This window comes from Homo sapiens, chromosome 12 (assembly GCF_000001405.40).
Source record: "Homo sapiens chromosome 12, GRCh38.p14 Primary Assembly".
NCBI classification, from domain to species: domain Eukaryota; kingdom Metazoa; phylum Chordata; class Mammalia; order Primates; family Hominidae; genus Homo; species Homo sapiens.
In genome coordinates, this window is record NC_000012.12 from 31,082,494 (window position 1) to 31,105,304 (window position 22,811).

At 54.1% G+C, this 22,811-nt stretch overlaps 1 protein-coding gene across 66 annotated transcripts in view, besides 1 other annotated feature; it reads left to right on the forward strand.

The window, feature by feature from the left end:
* The window catches only part of DDX11 (DEAD/H-box helicase 11), a 30,940-nt gene extending 8,634 nt beyond the window's left edge, over nucleotides 1–22,306 (forward strand). For 11 of the 66 annotated variants that reach the window (NM_001413693.1, NM_030653.4, NM_001413697.1 and 8 more), the window contains 25 exons: nucleotides 1,320–1,568; nucleotides 2,090–2,176; nucleotides 2,476–2,633; nucleotides 5,445–5,490; nucleotides 6,551–6,658; nucleotides 6,910–6,997; nucleotides 7,393–7,601; nucleotides 9,226–9,378; nucleotides 10,353–10,399; nucleotides 10,752–10,831; nucleotides 12,097–12,141; nucleotides 12,262–12,329; nucleotides 13,848–13,886; nucleotides 14,144–14,252; nucleotides 14,366–14,497; nucleotides 15,392–15,504; nucleotides 18,142–18,214; nucleotides 18,534–18,637; nucleotides 19,340–19,489; nucleotides 19,750–19,818; nucleotides 19,934–20,034; nucleotides 20,443–20,527; nucleotides 20,824–20,902; nucleotides 21,084–21,238; nucleotides 21,314–22,306. In NM_001413693.1, the coding sequence (NP_001400622.1) occupies nucleotides 1,320–1,568; nucleotides 2,090–2,176; nucleotides 2,476–2,633; nucleotides 5,445–5,490; nucleotides 6,551–6,658; nucleotides 6,910–6,997; nucleotides 7,393–7,601; nucleotides 9,226–9,378; nucleotides 10,353–10,399; nucleotides 10,752–10,831; nucleotides 12,097–12,141; nucleotides 12,262–12,329; nucleotides 13,848–13,886; nucleotides 14,144–14,252; nucleotides 14,366–14,497; nucleotides 15,392–15,504; nucleotides 18,142–18,214; nucleotides 18,534–18,637; nucleotides 19,340–19,489; nucleotides 19,750–19,818; nucleotides 19,934–20,034; nucleotides 20,443–20,527; nucleotides 20,824–20,902; nucleotides 21,084–21,238; nucleotides 21,314–21,343 (2,577 nt within the window). In that variant the 3' untranslated portion in view covers nucleotides 21,344–22,306. The other 55 variants (NM_152438.2, NM_001413699.1, NM_001257144.2 and 52 more) reach the window with 41 other exon arrangements.
* Nucleotides 21,542–22,041: an enhancer, noted in NCBI's record as "H3K4me1 hESC enhancer chr12:31256969-31257468 (GRCh37/hg19 assembly coordinates)". NCBI's record gives its function as "activates a minimal SCP1, AML or CMV promoter by ChIP-STARR-seq in naive H9 embryonic stem cells {active_cell/tissue: H9 hESC(naive)}" and the evidence as "EXISTENCE:reporter gene assay evidence [ECO:0000049][PMID:30033119]".

Sequence of the window (22,811 nt, forward strand, 5' to 3'; positions counted from 1 at the left end):
CGCCGCGCTGCTGCCCCAACCGTAGTCATACGAGGTGTTTCACCCCGCCCTGGATACTCTGAGATCCCCTCTGGGTTCAGCAGGCTCAGAGAGCTGACTGCCTGGAGCAGAAGGCATGGGGTCCTCCAGAGACTCCCCTGAGCTGAGTTCCCCTGTGGACACCAGGGCCGCCTCCTTGTGGCGCTCCCTGAAGGGTCCTCTCTGGAAGAACTGTATTGGTTCCCTGGGGCTGCTAGAGGAAAGCTTCACAAACTGGGGCTTAAACAACAGAAACTGACATCCCACAGCGCTGGAGGCTGGAGTCCGAGATCAAGGTGTCAGCATGCTTGGTCCCTTCTGAGGGTCGTGAGGGAAAGATCTCTTCAGGCCCCTTTCCTTGGCTTATAGGTGGCGTGTTCTCCTTGGGTATCATCACATCGCCTGCCTTCTGTGCATGTCTGCATCCACGTGTCCCCTTTCCAATAAGGATATTAGCCCTTTAGGCTGGGTCCCGTCCTAGTAGTCTCATCTTAACTAATTACATTTGCGACAGTCCTATTTCCAGATCAGGCCACATTCTGAGATGCTGGGGGTTAGGATTTCAACACAGGAATTTGGAGGAATACAACTCAATCAGGCTTATGGAAAATTCTGGTCTTAAGTCAAGGGTAGTGTTCTCCAGTCTGTATATGGAGGCGCACACCTATGGTCCCAGCCACTTGGGAGGCTGAGGCCAGAGAACTGTGTGAGCCCAGGAGTTCCATACCAGCCTGGGCAACATAGCAAGACCTCCTCTCAAAAACAGACAGAGTGGTGTCTTCCAGAGTGATTAGTTTGCTTAAAAAAAAAAAAACAAAACAAAACACAAACCGTAAGCACTGGCGCTCATGACTGATCATCCTGTATCCACGCACGAGCTGCACGAAGGCCGCGCGGTCACTCTGGCTCCCTGTTGGCGAGTACCTGGGATTTCTTGCTCAGCATTTTGGGGCCTTAATTCTTTTAGGGGACTTTTTGTCTAATGTCTCCCCTTCTTCTAATTATGTGCGATATTTACATAGAATCTGATAAACTGCTTCAAATTTGTTTTCAGAACAGTGAGCTGGATAATTAAAGAAGCTTTTTCCTGCTTCTTGGGCCCAGTTTCCATTTCTTTCTTTTTTCTGTTTTTCCTGGCTATTCTAGTGCTAATTTCCTTCCTTTCCTTTCCTAGGCTGGTCTTAGAGCATCCTCTCCTATGTACAGCCAGACCTTCTTTCAAGCTTTTATTAAAATGGGGAAAGGTCATTTGGGAGGCTTTGTTGTTTTCCTGTTTCTAAAGATCATTTTTCTTCCTGCAGGGGAAGTCCTTAAGTCTTATTTGTGGGGCCCTCTCTTGGCTCCGTGACTTTGAACAGAAGAAGCGTGAAGAAGAGGCACGACTCCTTGAAACTGGAACTGGCCCCTTACATGATGAGAAAGATGAATCCCTGTGTCTGTCTTCTTCCTGCGAAGGGGCTGCAGGCACCCCGAGGCCTGCTGGAGAACCGGCCTGGGTTACTCAGTTTGTGCAGAAGAAAGAAGAGAGGGACCTGGTGGACCGACTAAAGGTGAGACCTGGGGTATCCGGAAGTGGGAGTACTGGAGGAAACAGGGCTTCAGCGATTGTTCTGGGGCGATTCCGAGACTCAGGCAGTGCATGCTCCCCTGCCGTTGCCGTGCCTCTCAGCTCTTCCCTCAGCTCCTTGGGTCTATGGTGCTGCCGCTGTGCTGTCTTTTTTGAGCTGGAGGTCAGCAGGCCTTCTCCACATAAGGAACTGTTGGTGCCCATTTATTACTCACCTGGGAAAGGACCTGATCATTGCCATTGGCAGCATGGTTCAATGGCTGCAAATGGATCTGATGGAGAGCGTGTGGCTTTGGGAGGAGTGTGCCGCCTTCCGCAGTGAGCAGCGAGGCTGGGACCGGCAGGGATGAGGTCCCGGGAGGGGATGCGGCAGCCCTTGAGTGCTGGCCGGGGAAGGAGAGATGCCCCCAGTGAGGAGGCGCCGGGCTGAGTGGCCCAGACTCCTTAGGAGAGGCCTGGTTTTGGGCTTCCTTGGTGATTTTCCTTCATGTCTGCCTCCTGTAGGCGGAGCAGGCCAGGAGGAAGCAGCGAGAAGAACGCCTGCAGCAGCTGCAGCACAGGGTGCAGCTCAAGTATGCAGCCAAGCGCCTGGTGAGCCTCATTTCTTGGGGGGCAGGATTATGTCCAGGCAGGGTTGCTCTGCTTGGAGGCTCATGGGTGCGTGGTCAGGGCCTTGGTCTCCCCTCCGTGACCCTCACTGGCTATGTGCTCCCGTACAGAAGCTGGGCTGTGAGTGGTTGAGGCGTGGATCCTAGGAGTCGACCTCTCTCCAGCCAGGCAGCCAGGCCTATGTGAATGGGGCGTGGTGTGCTTTGTCTCTGGCATGTGGGGAGGTGGGTACTGGTGCTGAGACTTCTTCCTCCCTCACCACCTCCACTACCCCTGTCCAGAGGCAGGAAGAAGAAGAAAGAGAGAATCTCCTCCGCCTCAGCAGGGAGATGCTAGAGACAGGCCCGGAGGCTGAGCGGCTGGAGCAGCTGGAGTCTGGGGAGGAGGAGCTGGTCCTCGCCGAATACGAGAGTGATGAGGAGAAAAAGGTGGCGAGCAGGTGAGACAGAGGCGGTAGCACTACCCTGCCCCAGGCCAGGGGACACCCTTGAAGACAGCTCTTTCCCTCATGCCACAGATGCCATGAAGCACCTGGCAAGAGGCATGGTGGCCTCTGCCCTCTGCTCTAAGCCGGGTCCTTCCTAGGGTCCATGAGTGCCAGTGGCAGTGAGGACAGTCACCGGCCTGGCCTGTGTCCTCTCAGCTGTCCTCACGGCAGCTCAGGCAGGGCAGGAACATTTGTGTCTGCGCCTTATACACAAGGAGGCTGCAGCCCCACAAGGAGAGACTCCTTGGCTGAGGCCACAAGCCTCGGCAGTGGAGAGCTGGGCTAGAACTCAGCTGGCCTGGCTCTAGATCTCAGGCTCTGAGGCAGCTGACTGCACTGGGTAACCTGTGAGGTGCCAACCATCAAGGCGTCCTTAGCCTGAGCTTTCCTTCTCCCATAAAGCCTCTGTTGGTCCAGACTCAAGGTTTCCACTTGATGAGCCATGAGCTGCTGGGTGACTTAGCCCTGAGCAGGCCACCCAGGCCATTTCGGGCCCACAGGATCCCTGGTCACAGCCCTGTTCCCATTCACACTGGAACCTCACCACCATCCCTGAGTGTCTGCTCTGAGTATGGCACTGTCCAGATGCTGTGGACATAGAAGGGAAGAAGACATGGAGGGGACAGTTAATAGACATGAAAACAAATAGCACCTATGTGAAGTCAGCATGTTTGCCTACAAGGAAAACAAAATGGTGATGTGGATGGGGTGGGGGGCTGCACCTGATGATGAGTCCCGTGTGTCCTGTGACATCCTGGCCACCACATCTGTCGGAGGGTAACTGCAAGACCAGAGACCCTCCATGGATATTCCTGAAGGTTCATCCCCGGCCTTCACAGTCTGTCTGCAGGGCGCCTTCTGATGCCACCTCCAGCCGCCATCCACCAGACGCCAGCTTCCCCGCTGCCCTGAACTTCCTCCAGCGCACCAGGCCTTCCTCTGTCCTGTCTGAGGATTTGCTCATGCAACGTGCTGTGGCCAAACACCCTGCCCTCCTCCCTTGGCAGATGTCTTCCTCTCCTTTAAGGCCTGGCTCAGGTGTCGTCTTGGTGGCTTCGGGTGTCAGCTGCTCTGTTTTGCTCATGCACCTGCTTGTGCTTCTGTTGTTGCCTCCTCTCCCTGGCTGGGCTCGAGCTGCTTCAGGGCAGGAACCACGTCTTTATAGTTTGATGTTCCCAGAGCTGACCCAGTGTTTGGCATAGGGGTGTGCTCAATAAAATCGAGTTGACATGAATGAGCAGATGCTGCCTCGTTGCAGTCTGGTAGTGTAATTCCAGGCTGCGCATGTGAACTTCGACTTCTGCCCCTGCCCAGGGCAGAGACCACCGTGTTGCTTTATGCCTCGCTGGTGAGAGGGGGTCATAAACAGTTTGTGCTCCATGAACCCTTCCTGCCCGCCTCCGAGGTCATGTTTCTGCTCCCTCTCTTCTCCCTTAGAGCCCGTGGGGACAAGGCAGAGAACTTGAGTGGAGATGGAGGTGGTGAATATTAAAGGAACAAAGTGCTCCTTCAGGTCTGGGCAAGAGCCATGGATCCTGTAGGTCAGCTTCTGGGGCTTCCCATGCCCTCACGTTTCAGGAGATAACGTGAGCCTCGGAGGACCTGAGTTCTGAATAGAAAATTTTTGCTCTTCATTTCTTCACACACCCAGCCTCTCAGTGAGCTCCTGCTGGCTTTGTCCAGCATGCGACATAAGATTGAATCCAAGCCTTTTAAGATAGAGCCGCCTGCTCTTTAGTGACCATGAAGCCAAGCCTGTAATAATTACTCTTCTGATAGCCCAAGACAATTGTATTCTGTTTTGTTAGAAAGGAATTTCGAGGTGAACAAAAATGTTTTCTTTTTATGTGATGTTGCCATAGGTAGCGTGTGCCTGTCAGATGGTTTTGTGTTTTCTGAGGAGCATAGACTAGTAGAGCTAGCTCAGCTTCAGGCCATGGGATGCAGGGCTGGCTTCCCTGCCAACGCCTGGCGCTGATGGATTCTTCCCGCATTGCTGGGAAGGGCAGACTGAGGCACTGACACAAGAAGAGTTGTAGCTGGTCATAAGTGACAGCATCCTCTGTTCACTCGATTGGTCAGTTGTAGCTTCATCCAGGAGATGGTCATGGGGTTCCTGCTGCATACCAAGCTCTAGGTGAGGCCACGGGGACTCAGCAGAAACAAGGCCGACCTGGGTCCTCCCTTGTGGACATGACAGTCTGGGGAGATAGACCGAGAGGAAGCGATTTTGAATGAGATGGGTGTGAAGAGCAGGGGCCATGAATCTGTGTCAGAGCAGCCAGGCCTACCAGGGAAGGTCAAAGAAGGCTTCCTGGAGGAGGTGATGTTTCTGCTGCTATCTCAGAGTTGACTGGGAGCTGGTGAGGGGAGACAACATTCCAGGCACAGAACATCCGAAGGCCTGAGATGATGAAGAGCAAATATCCGCCCTGGGGCCTCAGAGGGGTCCAGCTTGCTGGAGGGAGGGCAGAGAGGAGAGCAGCCTGCCATGAGTCCCGAGGCTTCCGACTCAAGACTTGGGTTGGGGGTGCTGAGCCCCTTTCTCCTTTTTACATTTCCCTACCCACAGACCTGAGCGGCCATGGGAGGTTGGGGTTGGCATTTGCCTGGGGGAGTTTCTGAGCGAGCAGCACCTGCTACCTTGGTGGAACCCATTGCTGGGAATGGCCAGGGCTCAGCACCAGCGCTCAGCAGATGCTCAGTGCGTTTTGCTGAGTTTGCTGAGGGAAGACTGTTTTCTGTTCTCTCTCACACACACAGAGTGGATGAGGATGAGGATGACCTGGAGGAAGAACACATAACTAAGGTAACACAAGTGTCCTCAGCTGGTGCTGTGCTGGGGGTATAGGCTGGGCTGTGCACCCCTGGGGAGGAGGCTGGAGTCACTTGGCTACTTCTCACCCTCCTCTCCACAAAGGAGGAGCTTCCAGCACTTGGACTCCGTTGCTTCTTGCACACAACCCTGGTCCTAAGTTGCTCCCTTGGCCAGCTGCAGTGGACCCTGGAGTCCTCTCCTGGGGTCAGGGCCTGGGGAGTCCTCTCCTGGGGAGACCTTTCCTGGGAACAGGGACCTGAGGAGACCTCTCTTGAGTTTGGGGCCTGGGGAGACATCTCCTGGGTTCGGGGCCTGGGGAGACCTCTCCTGGGGGCAGGGCCATGCTTGCCACCCCAGGGCATCGAGGAACAGCTGTTCTGGGCTGAAATCTGGGTGTTTTCTGTCCCTGCTGGGTGGTACGGGTAGGACAGACATGAGTCCCCTGCCCTTTGGGTCTCTCATGGTGTGCTTCTCCCTTTGTCTGTGTTCCCATTTGCATGGAGGGCTATGGGTTGTGTATGGTCTGACATTTCCCATTTGGTTTCATTGATTTATGACTTGTTTTCTGTCGGAAGTAGGTATTTTCTTTGTATTTTCTTTTTTTCTCCCTTCACTCTTGCCTTAGAGGAGTAGAGAGAGGGTATTCTGGTCAGCCTTCCTTTTTCCCTTTGGGGATGTGTGTGACACACTCCCTCCCCTCCCACCAACAACCCACCCTCCCCAAGTGGGGACCCTTTGCCACGGGAGATGGTCACCCATGTCCAAAGATTGGCCAACCCCCCAAAAGCGGTTGATTAGAGGCTGGATATGACTCGTGGAAGGAGCTGCCTTTGGGGCATTCCCTTGAACTTCTGGAGCTGTGGGTGACTTGGGAATCCCTGGGTCCCTCGATAGATGCCTGACATGGGACATTGCTGTCCTGCCTCGGCTTTGTGCATTGGGAGCCACTCCCTTTCCCTCAGCCTCTCAGGCCCTGGCGTGCCTTGATGTTAGAGAATGCTGTGGGATGTTTTGGTTCTCTCTTTGAAGCGCCTTTCTTTCTCTCTGCTAGATTTATTACTGTAGTCGGACACACTCCCAGCTGGCCCAGTTTGTGCATGAGGTGAAGAAGAGCCCCTTTGGCAAGGATGTTCGGCTGGTCTCCCTTGGCTCCCGGCAGGTAAACAGTAGCCAGTATTTCCACCAGGGGCCATCCTGCTCCTTTCGCCACAACTTTGTCCTGCTCGTCCAGGCCTTGGGAGACGCTGGGTCTGTGACAGGCTGAACCGTGTGAGGAGCAGCCCCCTCCCTGACCTGGCCGGCCCAGCACTGGAAGGCAAAGGAGAGGTGGCGGGGCAGGTCCACGTGTGTTGGTAGGATGTCATTTAGCTGGCACCATCTTTTTGCCTCTTTCTTTCTCCTTTGCTGCAGAACCTTTGTGTAAATGAAGACGTGAAAAGCCTAGGTTCTGTGCAGCTTATCAACGACCGCTGTGTGGACATGCAGAGAAGCAGGCACGGTAGCCACTGGGACCATGGTGTAGCCGCAGGTGGTCTGGAGAGAGTGAGGCAGGGGTGGCAGTGACTGAAGACCATTAAGTGTCTTTCATAGAAAGAATGGCAGAGGAGACCCCAGTTCCTTCCTGAGTCCCCTCTCCTTGGGAAAAAGTGTTCCTACTCTCTGGGTCAGTGTCTGGTCCGAATCCTTGGCTTGGAGATGATTTTACGGGCTCTTTCTGGAGAACAGAAGTAAAACCTTACAGTGTTCCGATGAGACCACAGTAGGCAGTACTTGGGAGGGTCTTATAGACCCTACCCCATGGAAGTGGGTCTCAACATTACACAACCCCCTCTTGGGCCCGTGGACAGTTGCTGTCCTCTCTGTTTTCTCTCTTTGTGCCTGTGCCACCCTCAGAGAAGAAGAAAGGAGCTGAGGAGGAGAAGCCAAAGAGGAGGAGGCAGGAGAAGCAGGCAGCCTGCCCCTTCTACAACCACGAGCAGATGGGCCTTCTCCGGGATGAGGCCCTGGCAGAGGTGAAGGACATGGAGCAGCTGCTGGCCCTTGGGAAGGAGGCCCGGGCCTGTCCCTATTACGGGAGCCGCCTTGCCATCCCTGCAGCCCAGGTGAGGGCCCTGCAGGGCCAGAAAGCCGCTCTTGACTCTCACTGTGGTCTAGGCCATGAGGGGGGTCCTCATCACACTGTAGTTTGGGGGATGCCCCCCACCGTGGTCAGGTTGATGGCACCTTAACCCATTCTCTCCTGATGTGTGAGTTGGAGGAGGCGCGTGGGATCCCTTGGGGTCTCCAGGCAGCAGGGCCAGTTGGCATTACTGGGGATGGTATTTAGGAGCCAGGAAAGCCGGTGCATTCCTAGTGAAACCACAGGGAGAGGGGGGATGCCAGGAGCTGAGAAGAGTGTGCTGCATACATCTATTTACAAATGGCTTTCCAAGTGATGCTCCCAACTTCCATGCCTATGATGTGATGGAGGATGTCAGTGATAGAACCATTCAGTTTTCCAGTTTTTCCTTTTTGTAATATCAGTACTCTTAACTGGAAAGCTTTCCCTAACTTACACCTACCTGCAGCACGTGAGAATACTGTCTTCTCTGCCTCAACTTCTCTTGATTTTTAAACAGAAGGAAGAACTGCTAATGTAGCAGATCAAAAGTAGTATCTCACTGTTATTTGGTGGGTGCAGTTTCACTATTTCCTTGCTACTTCTTTAATTTGAGTGACTTTGGAAACGGGATATCACTAGTGGAAAATTCTGTATAATCCAGAAAAAAATGTAAGGTTTTAAAAGATTCAGGGAACTAAGTAACCATTTGCACAGCAGCTAAATGCTCACCAGCATACCTGCTGAGCTGTGTGGGCACTGGCAGAGAAACTGAGGAAAGCTGCCAGGCCCCATGGTGTCCCAGGCCTTCCCTCCCGTCTGTTTGCCTTTAGAGCAAGATTAGTGCTATAGGCATTTATACACAAATACCATAATATGGCCCAAAATCTTTACAATTTTTGAATTTTTAAAGTACTTTGACCATATTTTGCTTTTATGTTAATAGTATTCCAGTGAAATTCTGTGCATGGGGACACTGGAGCCCAGAAAAGTTAAGTGACTCATATTTTCTCACCAAGCGTGGGTGATGGAGCCATTCAGTTTTCCGATATTTTATTTTTTATATGAGTATTCCTTTAACTGGAAACTTTCCTAACAACAAACACCTAAAGATGTGCAGAGTTGCTTTTATTTTTGTTACCCCAGCTCCACGCCTTAACCCTCACTTTGAAATAGGATGTATCAACCCTATTTTGCAGATGAGGAAAGCAAGAGTCAGAGAGGTTAGACAACTCTTCCAGAGTCACACAGCTGGGGAGTAGCAGCTCCAGGAGTAGAAGCTGGGGCCGCTTCCTGGTGCACCGATGGTCTGCAGGTGTTTGTGGAAACTCGGGGGCCTCCGGGGCGACCTTGAGGACATGGACAAGGCTAAGCAGGGGTTCCCTTCACCCAGCCCTGCCCTTGGTTTACTCAGGAGTCAGACCAGCCCTAGTTTCCTGTGTTTCATGTATTGGCTTTTCATGTGAAACTCGAGGAGAGCTTGTCCGTTGCCACAAGCTGTTTTTCGAATGTCTCTACACAGTCCAGGCAGGAAATAGAAGCACTCACATCAGGAGCTCAGTGTCAGGCAGGCAAGGCTCCTGCAGGGGAGCCCCGCCCTGCTCAGGTGGCCTCATCTCCCCTCCCAGCTGGTGGTGCTGCCCTATCAGATGCTGCTGCATGCGGCCACTCGGCAGGCCGCGGGCATCCGGCTGCAGGACCAGGTGGTGATCATCGACGAGGCGCACAACCTGATCGACACCATCACGGGCATGCACAGCGTGGAGGTCAGCGGCTCCCAGGTGTGTGGGCCTCCCCTCCCCGGGCCAGGGCCTGCTGTGACGTAAAGGGACTTGGATGGTTCCTCCAGACACCTGGGCCAAGAGTTCCTCCGGAGGTGGGGCTTGATAGAGGGTGCACGAGTCAAGGCGGTGACCTCATCGGAGGCTGACCATGGCTTTCCAGTGCATCGGGGGACCCCGCTATGACAGAGTGCCTCATTTCCCTGCACCTCATCTGCCCCCATGCTCCTGAGTCCCTCCAGCCCTGGATGCCAGCAGCCAGTTCTGTAAGCCAGGGAGATGGCATGTGTGAGGCAGAAGTCCCCTCAGGATTGGATTTTGTCATTACTGAAGTTGTCTGGAGGGGACTGAATTGAGGAATGCTCAAGATCAGCGCAGGCTCCTCCTGCTGCCCTATCATGCGCCATGCATGGCACCAGGTGTCTCTGGTCTTCACGCTGACTCTGCCATGGGTGTGGTGTTCCTGTTTTACATTGGAAACTTGGAGATTCAAAGATGGTCAAGCTCTGTCCTGAGGTCATGCAGCTCATGAGTGTGGAGCTGGGGTGTGCCCACTGGTTTCTGACTGTGAAAACCCCCACGACATCCCACCAGCTCTACTGACCTGTGCCTGGGCTGAATTGAGGCTGGGATGTGATGGTGGCCTTGAACCATCACTCTTTGTAGACTCCAGGTCTTTTCCCAACCCGGTGGAAACTTAGCAGGGAGATTCCATACTTGAGGAATTCAGCCTCTTGCTTTTTCTCTGACCCACAGTGGACACTGGAGGAAAACTTCCCTTCCTTCCCTTTTCTCTTAGCTCCCACCAGCCTAAGGGCTGTGGAAACCCGTACCTTTTGTCTGCAGCCAGCCCCCTCTCCTCCCTTTGGTGGCTTCCTGTGTGTCCAGGGCCAGCATCTTCTAGGTGAATCTAAGATGTCAGTACCTTAGCCCTCAGCTGCTTGCTCAGAGCCTGGTTTGTGTTCTTTCCCCAGCTCTGCCAGGCCCATTCCCAGCTGCTGCAGTACGTGGAGCGATACGGGTGAGATGTGACCCTCTGAGGTAGTGGGACAGTCCCTTGGTGGCCCCCTGCGTGGGCCTCTGAGAGGCAGGCAGCACTTTGGTTCCCACCTCTGGCCCGGGCTGTGGCGGGGTGGAGCTGCATGCCATTCATGTCCTAGGCACATCATGGTGTGTGCTGCACACAGACCTGGAAGGCTGGGGACTGACCGCTGGCTCTGAGGCCTGGGGCCGTGGCCAGCCTGCTCTCTGGGAAAGGATTTGTAGCTTGTGACCCAGTTTGAGAGGCACCGGGCAGCAAGGCTTCCACTGGGGTGGGCGGGGCGAGTCGCCATCAGGGCACCACCACTTAATGTCCGTTGGCTTCTTCTCAGGAAGCGTTTGAAGGCCAAGAACCTGATGTACCTGAAGCAGATCCTGTATTTGCTGGAGAAATTCGTGGCTGTGCTAGGGGGTGAGAGCCTCGTCCCCCTGCTGACCCCGGGCCTGCAAAACTCGCTGGGCTGCTTTTTCCTTGGATGCCCATCAGGACACCTCAGTTCTCTGTGTTTTTAAGAAGGGTCGGCCGGGTGCGGTGGCTCACGCCTGTAATCCCAGCACTTGGGAGGCCGAGGCAGGTGGTTCACCTGAGGTTAGGAGTTTTGAGACCAGCCTGGCCAACATGGTGAAATCCCATCTCTACTAAAAATACAAAAAAATTAGCTGGGAGTGTTGCCGTGGCCTGTAGTCCCAGCTGCTCCAGAGGCTGAGACAAGAGAATTGCTTGCTCAAACCCGGGAGGCGGAGGTTGCAGTGAGCCGAGATTGTGCCACTGCAGTCCAGTCTGGGCGACAGAGTGAGAATCAGTCTCAAAAAAAAAAAAAAAAAAAAAAAAGAAGGGTCTTGGTCATTGATTTAGAAAATTCTTGTTCTTTGTAGCTTAGTTGAGTTGTCTGACTTGAGCTTTATTTAGACCCATGGGTTCTTTGCCCATGTTCTGAGGACTTTTTATTTCAGGCCCTGCTCTGGGGGGATATTAAGGATACAGCATCACATAGACACACGGTGTTTCCGTGATAGGCATAGTTCTGTGGGTTGTTCGAAGCACTTGCATATGCGGTTTTGTGTGCCCTGTGAGAACGCAGTGCTGGTATTTGAATCCTTGTTGATAGACGCATAAACTAGAGCTCGGAGCAAGGGCTGCTCCCAGCACGGGAGCCTGGGATCTTCTGACTCCAGCTCCCACGCCTCTTTGCATGACCCTGTCACGTCCCCTTCTTTTATGATGGGGCACCCCCTTGGAAGGCGTCTGTGGAAGTGGAAGCTGCAGAAAGCCTGTGGGAGCTCCTGGCGGGAGCTGGTCTCGTGTTGCTGCTCTGAGCCACCAGCTCTGCTTTGCCTCAGGCTCACCAGTGGCCTGGGCAGCTCCTCTGTGCTCCGGTGCCCTGCATACCTTGGTCTGGCTGCTGTGTCCCGGCCTCCTGGAGAAGGGGTGAAAAACATGAACTTACAGGGCTTTGGGTTCCACGTGCAAGCACGTGAGTCAGACATGGGAGGCTCCTGGACCCACCTGCCCTCTCAGTGGGTCCGTTGCATGCTATAAACAGTGAAAAGCAAAACAAAGCCATTTAAATACAGATGCTCTTCTTACTTGATGTGCAGTGTGGAGGGAGAGAAGATAGGGAAGGGTTGGGGGTCCTGAGAACCAGCATTGTGACCTATTTCCATTCTCTTTTTTAGGGAACATTAAGCAAAATCCCAATACACAGAGTCTGTCACAGACAGGTAAGAGAGTTGCCCTCAGAGGGCCCAGAGCTGATCTGAGCCACTTCCGAGCTTAACCCTGGGACTGAAACCTGAGGCTTAGGGTGAAGCTCCCAAGGCCCTTCATGTGTTTGTTCTCAGGGACGGAGCTGAAGACCATCAACGACTTTCTCTTCCAGAGCCAGATCGACAACATCAACCTGTTCAAGGTAGAGGTTTCCACCTTTCCACATTCCACATCCAATTTCCTTCCTGTCACCACCTGTGGGTAAAGTACTATGTTAAGACTGTAGAAGGAAGAAAAAGCAAAACAGATGTGTAATTACTTAACCCTTAACGCAACATGCCTGTGAGACAAAAGTCATCTTCTTTTAGAGTGAAGGCCACAGGGATGAGGGATGGGTGAGAAAGGGACCTTTCTTGGTGCCCCATAGAACAGATAGAGACTCCAGGTCCTTGCTCTCTCACTCCGTCTTCTGGCACAGTCTCCCTCAGGCTTATGGACAGGAATAGGACGTTGATTTGTTCTGTGCAACCCCTGTCACGTCTTCCCACTTGGGCCTTGGGTCTGGTTGCAGCCTCAGACCTCTGCTCACTCCAGGTCTGTGTACCCAGCGCTCCCCAGATGAAACACGGCCACTGCCGCCTGAACCCCAAGCTCGTAACTCAAATCAGCAACAGTGACTGCCCCCGGGTACAGGGTTCTGCCTCTGTTGTAGGCGGCATGCCATGTGCTGTGCTCTGAGCTAGGATATCCTTTTGCCCCAGCAAGGAAAGCAAACAGGCCCGTGGAGGTGACTTCAGGAGGGTGGCGAGCACAGGCTTCCCACAAGTGAGCCAATAGCAAGTGGCAGAGACAGCGTCCAAACCTGGCTGCACTGACTTGGGGCCCCACATTCTTCCCATCCTGCCTGCCTTTTTTTTCTTAAAACCAGCTTTTCCCCTGAATTACACATTTGGGTCACTGTCACTGCCGCCATCCCTGCCAGACAGGCTGGATCCAGGTCATCCTTGATGCCTTTCTCCCCTTGTCTCCCACATGCCTGTGACAGCCGCCAGGCCTGACAGCCTGAGACAGTCCTGCCGTCCCTGCGCTTCTCCCACAGCTGGGACATGGGTGCAGGCACTCCTTCTCTCGCCTTCCCTTTGCCCTCCTTGCTTTCCTTCTCCCCTCTTCTTCCCATGGGTCTCGGGTCTCATCACTCACCATTGAGGGAATCCTCATCGAAGGACGTCGCTCTTTTTAGAAACCGGTTTAAAGGCTCCAAACTCCTCATCTCTGCATCCCAAGCTAAGATCTGGCACCAAACCACACACATTGGATGCACCGACTGAGTGGCACTGCCCCAGCCCCTGAGCAGGTCCCAGCCATCATCTCCTCTGTGGCTTTGCTCATAGAAGTTCCTTTTTTTTTTTTAACTCTTTGTCACCTGGAAGGAAAGCCAAGGGGAACTGGATTTTACTGAGCACTCTTAGACTTGAGAGAGACATTTGGAAAGAGGGTCTCCACCCTGAGGAGGACACTGCGTTGTGGGCAGGGGCAGTAGAGGAGGGGGTGGCCTCGGAGAGGAGATGACAAGGTTGGTGGCAAGGAGGCTCCAGGTGCCTCAGAAGGTAGCACTGCGTTGTGCTGCCTGGGTGGTAGAAGTGGTGTTTTTTGTTTTGTTTTTAAGATTATAGCTTGCTCAGTTTGCACTCATGCCTACAGCTGGGCTTGGTTTTTGCAGGTGCAGCGATACTGTGAGAAGAGCATGATCAGCAGAAAGGTAACTGCTCCCATCTTGTGGTCCTGAACAAGACCCAGCTGTGCCCCAACCCCCTGCCCTTGCCATGCTTTCCTCCCCTGCCCTCAGGGAACTCCAGAGTCCCCTTCGTCTCCACTCTCCTTGGTGCAGTGGGCCTTGCTGGGGTGGTGGGATGTGTGCTGCAGGTGTCTTGGGCCTGGCAGAGCCTCCGATCCACCCAGCCTCTCTCTCATGGCTGTACCTCGTTCCTCTCCACTGCTCTCTCTCATCCCACCCAGCTCTTTGGATTCACTGAACGGTACGGAGCAGTGTTCTCATCCCGGGAGCAGCCCAAACTGGCTGGGTTTCAGCAATTCCTGCAGAGCCTGCAGCCCAGGACGACTGAAGGTGAGGCAGGAGGGTGGGCAGGCAGAGCCGGCTGCACGCATGGGCAAGGACTTCTGTTCCTCATGTGTGGACCTGACCAGAGGGAGGCCTCCTCCCCGTTCTGCTCTGTGCAGCTCTTGCAGCCCCTGCAGACGAGAGTCAGGCCAGCACCCTGCGACCAGCTTCTCCACTGATGCACATCCAAGGCTTCCTGGCAGCTCTCACTACGGCCAACCAGGACGGCAGGGTCATCCTGAGCCGCCAAGGTAATCAGGTGGTTCTTGGCCAGGTTCAGTTCCCAGGAAGGAGCCAAGCTGAGCCCGGGAGCCGCAGCGTGAAAGGATTCTTTCCTTCCATCCTGGGAACTTCCTGGGTTAGGAGGAAGCAGTGCAGTGGGCACTGGCCTGCTGTGACCTGGGCAAGCAGTGGAGGTGGATGGGAGGAGATCGAAGGGCTGGGATGGGGGTCCCGTGACCAGGGTAAGCAGTGGAGGTGGACGGGAGGAGATCGAGGAGCTGGGATGGGGGTCCTCTAGGGCAGGGGTCCTAGGGAAACTTCTACTGTGGGGTAGGTGGGCTTTGGTTTGGGTCATGATTTTGTCATCTATGAGCCTTGTGATTTGGACTATTTTCTTTCTCAACTTCAGTTTCTTCATATGAAAATGGAGAGGATAGGCCGGGCGCGGTGGCTCACGCCTATAATCCCAGCACTTTGGGAGGCTGAGGGGGGGCGGATCGTGAGTTCAGGAGATCGAGACCATCCTGGCTAACACAGTGAAACCCCGTCTCTACTAAAAATACAAAAAATTAGCAGGGTGTGGTGGTGGGTGCCTGTAGTCCCAGCTACTCGGGAGGCTGAGGCAGGAAAATTGCTTGAACCCAGGAGGCGGAGGTTGCAGGGAGCCGAGATTGAGCCACTGCACTCCAGCCTGGGCAACAGATCGAGACTCCATCTCAAAAAAAAAAAAAAAAAAGGATGGAGAGGACAGTGTGGTCCACCTCTGTGGGCTGGTTGTCCTAGAGATTAAATGGTGTTTAATTTAAAGAGAAAGCACTAGCACTTGTGCCTCAGACCTGGACTCACCTGGGGGACCCCCTTTGCTGGGACGACAGAAGTGTCTGTTGGGCTTGCACTCACCTCCCACCGATCTGTTTTTCCAGGCAGCCTCAGTCAGAGCACCCTGAAGTTTTTGCTCCTGAATCCAGCTGTGCACTTTGCCCAAGTGGTGAAGGAATGCCGGGCAGTGGTCATTGCGGGGGGTACCATGCAGCCGGTAAGGACACCTTTCCCAGCCCCTCGTGCCCCAGGTGTTGGGATGAGATGGGGGCTTGGGAGAGATGCATTATCAGTCCTGTTCTCTCCTGGGGCCCCAAGCCAGAAAGGGTCAGCTCGAGCAGGCCCAGTGGTGTCCGCTGGGTGACACTGCTATTCTCTCACTGCTGTGCCTTTTAGGCTGCAGGAGCAGTGGAGACTCCTCTGCTGCTCCATTCTGTAGCCCCAGGATCACATGTCTCCCAGAGAAAGCTGTTCTGTGGTTTCAAACTCAAGGAAAAAAATCATGATTCCACTTTTAAAAGGTTCATTTTGATGTATATGAATATAATAGTCTTTGTAGGCGTAATTTTTACTTATGTGCATAGCTGTTTTAAAAACAAAAGTACGGCTCCCTCCATGTGCTGTCACTGGAACTTGCTCTTTTCACTCAGCAGCCAGAGGGTCATAAACCCTGTCTCCTTGTCAGCAAGCATGCACGTATTTCAGTATCCCAGCTGTGCTGGATTCCAGTTACACAGATATATAGCATTTCATGTAGCTGCTTCTCTCTTGTTAGGTGTGCAAGCTATTTGCAGTTTTCTGTTTTGAGCATGACTGTGATAAATATAACCGCATTTCTGCACAGTGGTGACTCCTACCTAGCGAAGGGCCTCCTGGACAAAAAGCTGCTGGGAATCCTGAAGCAGTGCTTCCCAGCCCCAGCTGCCTTAGCTTTTGATTTTTATATTTTTGTATGGATAGATTCATAGTTTTATTCATTCGGCATATTAAAAGTTGTTTACAGTAATTATTGTTTCTGACGTTCACATTGTGAGAGCCCCTTCCTGCTAGCTCAGGTCCTCCCCGTGGCCCGGTCAGTCTCGCCTCCAGCACAGCAGAATGTCATGGGATCACCATGGGTGTCCTTTCCCCACACTGGATTGATTCATTTCTCCAAGCTGCTCTGGTTTCTTGTAATGGGGAATGACATTTAGAAGTCAAGCTGTGGGTGCTAGGGTGTTTGTCGTGCTCCTGGGGCGTTTTGGTAGACAGATCTAGGAAATGTTTTCAGAATGAATCCATACTGGTATTTCTTTCTTTCTTTCTTTTTTTTTTTTTTTTTTTTTGAGACACAGTCTCGCTCTGTCTCCCAGGCTGGAGCGCAGTGACCTGATCACGGCTCTCTGCAACCTCTGCCTCCGGGGTTCAAGCGATTCTCATGCCTCAACCTCCTGAGTAGCTGTGATTACAGGCATGTGCCACCACACCCAGCTAATTTTTGTATTTTAGTAGAGATGGGGTTTTACCATGTTGGCCAGGCTGGTCTTGAAATCAGGTGATCCGCCAGCCTTGGCATCCCAAAGAGCTGGGATTACAGGCATGAGCCACCACGCCTGGCCCATATTGGTGTTTCTAAGTAAAAATCAAAGGATTTGTTTACTTGACCTTTTATTGTACCTCTTTTTCTCTTAAGCCTGAACATGTGTGCTACATTAACATACTTATCTGCTCTATCCTATAATATACTTAAAAGTTTTGAAATCATAGTACCAATATTACTTCTAACAATAGATCTGATTGAAATTGCCTTTCCTCTTTGCCTTTAGAGTGTAACCCACTAAGGATGCCTGGTCACTAGGCTCTAAAGTCACGTGGAACCAGGCTTCTCTCCGTGTGCTTCTGTTGTCAGTTTCATAGATAACTAGGCTGTTTTTGTTTCATTTTCTTTTCAATTTTAGAATTTGCTTTTTTCTTTTCTGACTTGTAGTTTTTAAATATGTAAATATTTGTATGGCTCAAAAGTCAAAGCAATATAAAAAGATCTATTCAGGAAAGCCTCACTCTCATCCCTTTCCAGCCCATTCCCCACCCCCATAGGGAATCCGTTTTACTAGCTTATCCTTTCAGTCTTTCTTTTTCCCCTAAATAAGCAAAAACGTGTCTTCATTTTTCCCTTTCCTGTTTTATTTACACAGAAGGCATCTTAGTCAGTTGTCTGACCATCGCTCCTCTAGTGGGCTGCGTGGTTCTCTGTTGGACAGATGTAGGGAGCTTATCCAACCAGTACCCTCTGGATAGGCAGGCGCATGATTACAGGGAAAGGTCCGGGGGCACATGCTGTTTGGTATTTGTGGGCTGTATCTTCTCACTGGACTCCTAAATATGGGATTCCTGGGTTAAAAAGTATAAATATGTTTAATTTGTTAACTACTGTGAAATTTCATGAGAATTGTACCATTCTGTATCCCACCAGTACTGTCTAGGAATGCCTGTTTCTCCAGAGTGGTTACTTTTGGATTTTTGCCAGTCTAACAGGTGAAAGCCTGGAGATTCTTATTCAGTAGTTTGGGCTGGGGCCTGGCCATGTGTATTTTTGAAAATTTTCGCTGGTGATTTTGCTGCATGGCCAGGGTTGATAATGACTGTGCCAGATTTGCTGGATTTCCTTTGCTGTTCCTGCACATAGTTTAAACGAGACTGCCAGCACTGGGTATCAGTCACCATTTTTCTTTTTGTTAGTTTGCCATCAGCCTTTTCTTTGACCTCTTCTTTCAGTTTGTGTGTACTTGCTGTCTCTTAGCCCAGACTTCTCGCTTCCTTTCTGCTGGGCCTCTGAGGGGTCATGGGGCCGTGACGCTGTGGCCTTGGTCTACAGGTGTCTGACTTCCGGCAGCAGCTGCTGGCCTGTGCCGGGGTGGAAGCTGAGCGCGTGGTGGAGTTTTCCTGTGGTGAGAAGCTGTGCCCAGGGTGGGGCAGGCTAGAGGTCAGGTTCTGGCCCCCGTTTTCTGTGGGTAATACCTCATACTGCGACCAGGCACAGGGGCGGAGGAGACCCCGGGGTGGGAGCCTCACCCTTCGTGCGCTCGCCCAGGCTCTCCTGCTTTGCTCCCTGCTGCCTGCTGCCCAGTGTGACTGGTGATGGTGGGCGGGTGAGCGCTGTCAGTCGCTGTTCCTGTGCTGGATGATGGGGCAGGGAAATGCCCTCTCTGCAGTGTCTTGCAGCACACCTGCATCTCCAGTTTTCGGCCCCTCCCTGGCTCTTACCAGGTCACGTGATCCCTCCAGACAACATCCTGCCCCTCGTCATCTGCAGCGGGATCTCCAACCAGCCGCTGGAATTCACGTTCCAGAAAAGAGAGCTGCCTCAGATGGTCAGTCCCAGCCAGCTCGCCGCACCACAGCCTGGCCTCAGGCAGCAAAGGGTTTTCTGGGGCAGGGGCGCTCTGGCCCACCCTGAGTGTTTTCAGTGTTGGGGAAATTGCACAGGGACACCCGCTTAGAGCCACACAGAATGAGCGGCGTCGATCTAGATGCTTATGGAGGAAGGTCTGAGCTTCCCCGCCCCTCACGCCTTAGGCTGCGAAATATGTATTCATAAAACCTCCAGGCATCCTCTGAGGACGCCTCACACAGGAGAAAGCTGCTAGTTCCCTTTGGCTCTCTTGCCCTTTGGTTATATCTGCCCCTGCCGGGGGTAGGGATGTGGGGCTTGGGGGCATCTCCTGTGGTGTGCCTGGGGTGTGCAGCCCCTGATTGTCGTTGTGGTGCCCATCAGGACCCTGGACAGAAGAAGGGAGGACTCAGTGCCAGGGCAATAGGGAGGCCCCCTAGGGACGCTAGTGCTGTGACATGTGTCAGAAAGGCGCAGTCAGCAGCAGCGGCTGGGTGTGTTTGGTGGGAGGTGGCACCTACCACCCCGTGGTTCCCACCCAGGGGAGCCAAGTCCTCTTCCTTGGCTGTAGTCCTGCCGAGGGTCTCTCCTCAGTTTTGAGTCTCAAGGTGAAGACGCGGTTTGTGGGTGGCTGAGGGGTTGCTCCATGGGGGCTCCCTCCCTCCCTCCTTTCCTTCCTTAGATGGACGAGGTGGGTCGCATTCTCTGTAACCTGTGCGGTGTGGTTCCTGGAGGGGTGGTCTGTTTCTTCCCCTCCTACGAGTACCTGCGCCAGGTCCATGCCCACTGGGAGAAGGGTGGCCTGCTGGGCCGTCTGGCTGCCAGGAAGAAGGTGAGTGGCCTGTCGGCAGCCTTCCCACTTGTGAGGACAGTGCCACTGAGTCCTCCTGGGAGCTCTCGTGCTCATCGGGTCAGGACAGGCTTCTGGCTCCTCATCCCCACCGCTCCCAGTCCCTGACTACAGAGGATTTCCCCCAAAGTCCCTGGCTGTGAGGTTCTCCAGTCCCCTGGCCAGAAAACACAAGGCCACGAGCAGACTCGAGACCTGGCACCCTGAACCTGTCTCTGGGAAATGTCCTCTGTCTTTCTCAGATATTCCAGGAACCTAAGAGCGCACACCAGGTGGAGCAGGTGCTGCTGGCATATTCCAGGTGCATCCAGGTGCGGGCGTCATGCTGGGCTTGGGTCTGAGATCGTGTGGGGGTGGCAGCTGGAAACGTTGTGGGTGTCATCCAAGTTTTGGCTCAGCAACTCAGCGTCTGGGTTTCTCCTACAGGCCTGTGGCCAGGAGAGAGGCCAGGTGACAGGGGCCCTGCTCCTCTCTGTGGTTGGAGGAAAGATGAGTGAAGGGATCAACTTCTCTGACAACCTAGGCCGGTAAGTAGTGGTTCTGCTCGTCTCCTGGGCCGTGATACATGGCCGGCCCTCACTCCCAGCAGCTGGGCCCCTGCCTGCTCTCTGCTGCCATTAGAGCCCACAGCTGGGCTGCGACTGCTCAGACCAGCCAGCTGGAGGGAGGGGCTCAGCAGCTCTGGGTTTGGTCCTGGGAGAGCAGTTGGATTTTAGGCTACCCATTGCTGTATCAGGACCCAGTCAATTGGCCTAGACGGGATCTCTCAGCCGAACAAGCCCTCTCCAGGTGGTAGGTACAGAGTGGAGAGAGGCTGAGTTTTGATCACAGTCGGAGAGGCTGAGGGAAGGGGTAGAACGGAGCAGCTGGTGACGTGGGTGATGACCCGGGAGGTCCTGACGTCCACCTGCTGGGCTCTTGTCTCCCCCGCCCAGGTGTGTGGTGATGGTGGGCATGCCCTTCCCCAACATCAGGTCTGCAGAGCTGCAGGAGAAGATGGCCTACTTGGATCAAACCCTCGTGAGTGACCCCAGTGTCACAGAGGGTGACAGGAGAGTAGGCAGTGGGTGGGAGTGGCATCACCCCCAGGGCTGATACAGCCAGGCCTTCCCCGCTGCGCTGGCGTCTCCTGCCCCCTCCGGAAGCTTGGATGCCCCTCCACACCCTCTTGATCTTCCCTGTGATGTCACCTGGACCCCTGCTGCTGGCATTGGCCACGAAGCCTCCTGGTCTGGCTCCAAAGCCTGGCAGGGTCTTTTCCCAGGGGGAGCTGCAGGCAGGGAACAGTCCTGATGGGTCTTCCCCTTCACTCCCAGCCCAGAGCCCCCGGCCAGGCACCCCCAGGGAAGGCTCTGGTGGAGAACCTGTGCATGAAGGCCGTCAACCAGTCCATAGGTGAGCCTGGCTGCCTCCAGCTGGGTGGACAGATGGGGGCTGGAGAAAGGGAGAACAGGAAAGAGGGGTTGCCTGCCCTGTTTCCTATATAAGTCTGAGGAAGGGGAGGGGGTCGCCGTGGGAATGTGCTGTAGGGGGGAGGCAGGTGTTGCTCGGAGCCCCAGCCTCTGTTCCTATGCAGGCAGGGCCATCAGGCACCAGAAGGATTTTGCCAGCGTAGTGCTCCTGGACCAGCGATATGCCCGGCCCCCTGTCCTGGCCAAGCTGCCGGCCTGGATCCGAGCCCGTGTGGAGGTCAAAGCTACCTTTGGCCCCGCCATTGCTGCTGTGCAGAAGGTCAGTCCTACCTTTTTCTTTCTGAGAGCCTCCCCACCCCGAGATCACATTTCTCACTGCCTTCTGTCTGCCCAGTTTCACCGGGAGAAGTCGGCCTCTTCCTGATGGGCAACCACACCACTGCCTGGCGCCGTGCCCTTCCTTTGTCCTGCCCGCTGGAGACAGTGTTTGTCGTGGGCGTGGTCTGCGGGGATCCTGTTACAAAGGTGAAACCCAGGAGGAGAGTGTGGAGTCCAGAGTGCTGCCAGGACCCAGGCACAGGCGTTAGCTCCCGTAGGAGAAAATGGGGGAATCCTGAATGAACAGTGGGTCCTGGCTGTCCTTGGGGCGTTCCAGGGCAGCTCCCCTCCTGGAATAGAATCTTTCTTTCCATCCTGCATGGCTGAGAGCCAGGCTTCCTTCCTGGTCTCCGCAGGAGGCTGTGGCAGCTGTGGCATCCACTGTGGCATCTCCGTCCTGCCCACCTTCTTAAGAGGCGAGATGGAGCAGGCCCATCTGCCTCTGCCCTTTCTAGCCAAGGTTATAGCTGCCCTGGACTGCTCACTCTCTGGTCTCAATTTAAAATGATCCATGGCCACAGGGCTCCTGCCCAGGGGCTTGTCACCTTCCCCTCCTCCTTCCTGAGTCACTCCTTCAGTAGAAGGCCCTGCTCCCTATCCTGTCCCACAGCCCTGCCTGGATTTGTATCCTTGGCTTCGTGCCAGTTCCTCCAAGTCTATGGCACCTCCCTCCCTCTCAACCACTTGAGCAAACTCCAAGACACCTTCTACCCCAACACCAGCAATTATGCCAAGGGCCGTTAGGCTCTCAACATGACTATAGAGACCCCGTGTCATCACGGAGACCTTTGTTCCTGTGGGAAAATATCCCTCCCACCTGCAACAGCTGCCCCTGCTGACTGCGCCTGTCTTCTCCCTCTGACCCCAGAGAAAGGGGCTGTGGTCAGCTGGGATCTTCTGCCACCATCAGGGACAAACGGGGGCAGGAGGAAAGTCACTGATGCCCAGATGTTTGCATCCTGCACAGCTATAGGTCCTTAAATAAAAGTGTGCTGTTGGTTTCTGCTGAGTTTTTTATTGATATGTGCTGCTGTTTTCTCTGGAAGCCTCTTTAGGGAATCGAGGAGCGCACTGGTGCAGGGGCTGGGTGGAGCCATCCTCCGATGGAGCACAGGCAGACGGAAGCCCCCACCCCAGCTGCGTGGCCTCAAGCCAGCCTCCCGCTCCCCGAAGGTGGTCTCCACACAGACCTGGGACAGTTTCATCCCCGCCCCTTCCAGGGCAGCAGGGCTGAGGATCCCATTCTGGCTGTGTCCACGTCCGGGCCATGGCTAGAGTCTGGGTTTAGGGGAGGAAGGCATGGCGGCGCCCGCTAGGATTTCCAGTTGTCCTCTTCTTCCTCTGCCTGTGGCTGCTGGGGGTTAGCAGAGACGGTTTGTTGTCTGACATACGGGCTCTCTCCTCCCGGCCCCTCACCAGCCCCAGAGGTGAAAAGGCTGGAGGGGAAAGGGTGAGTGAGGGAGGTCTGTGGGGAGCACTGGTTTCCCCAGGCCCCAGAGACTTAAACACAGGAA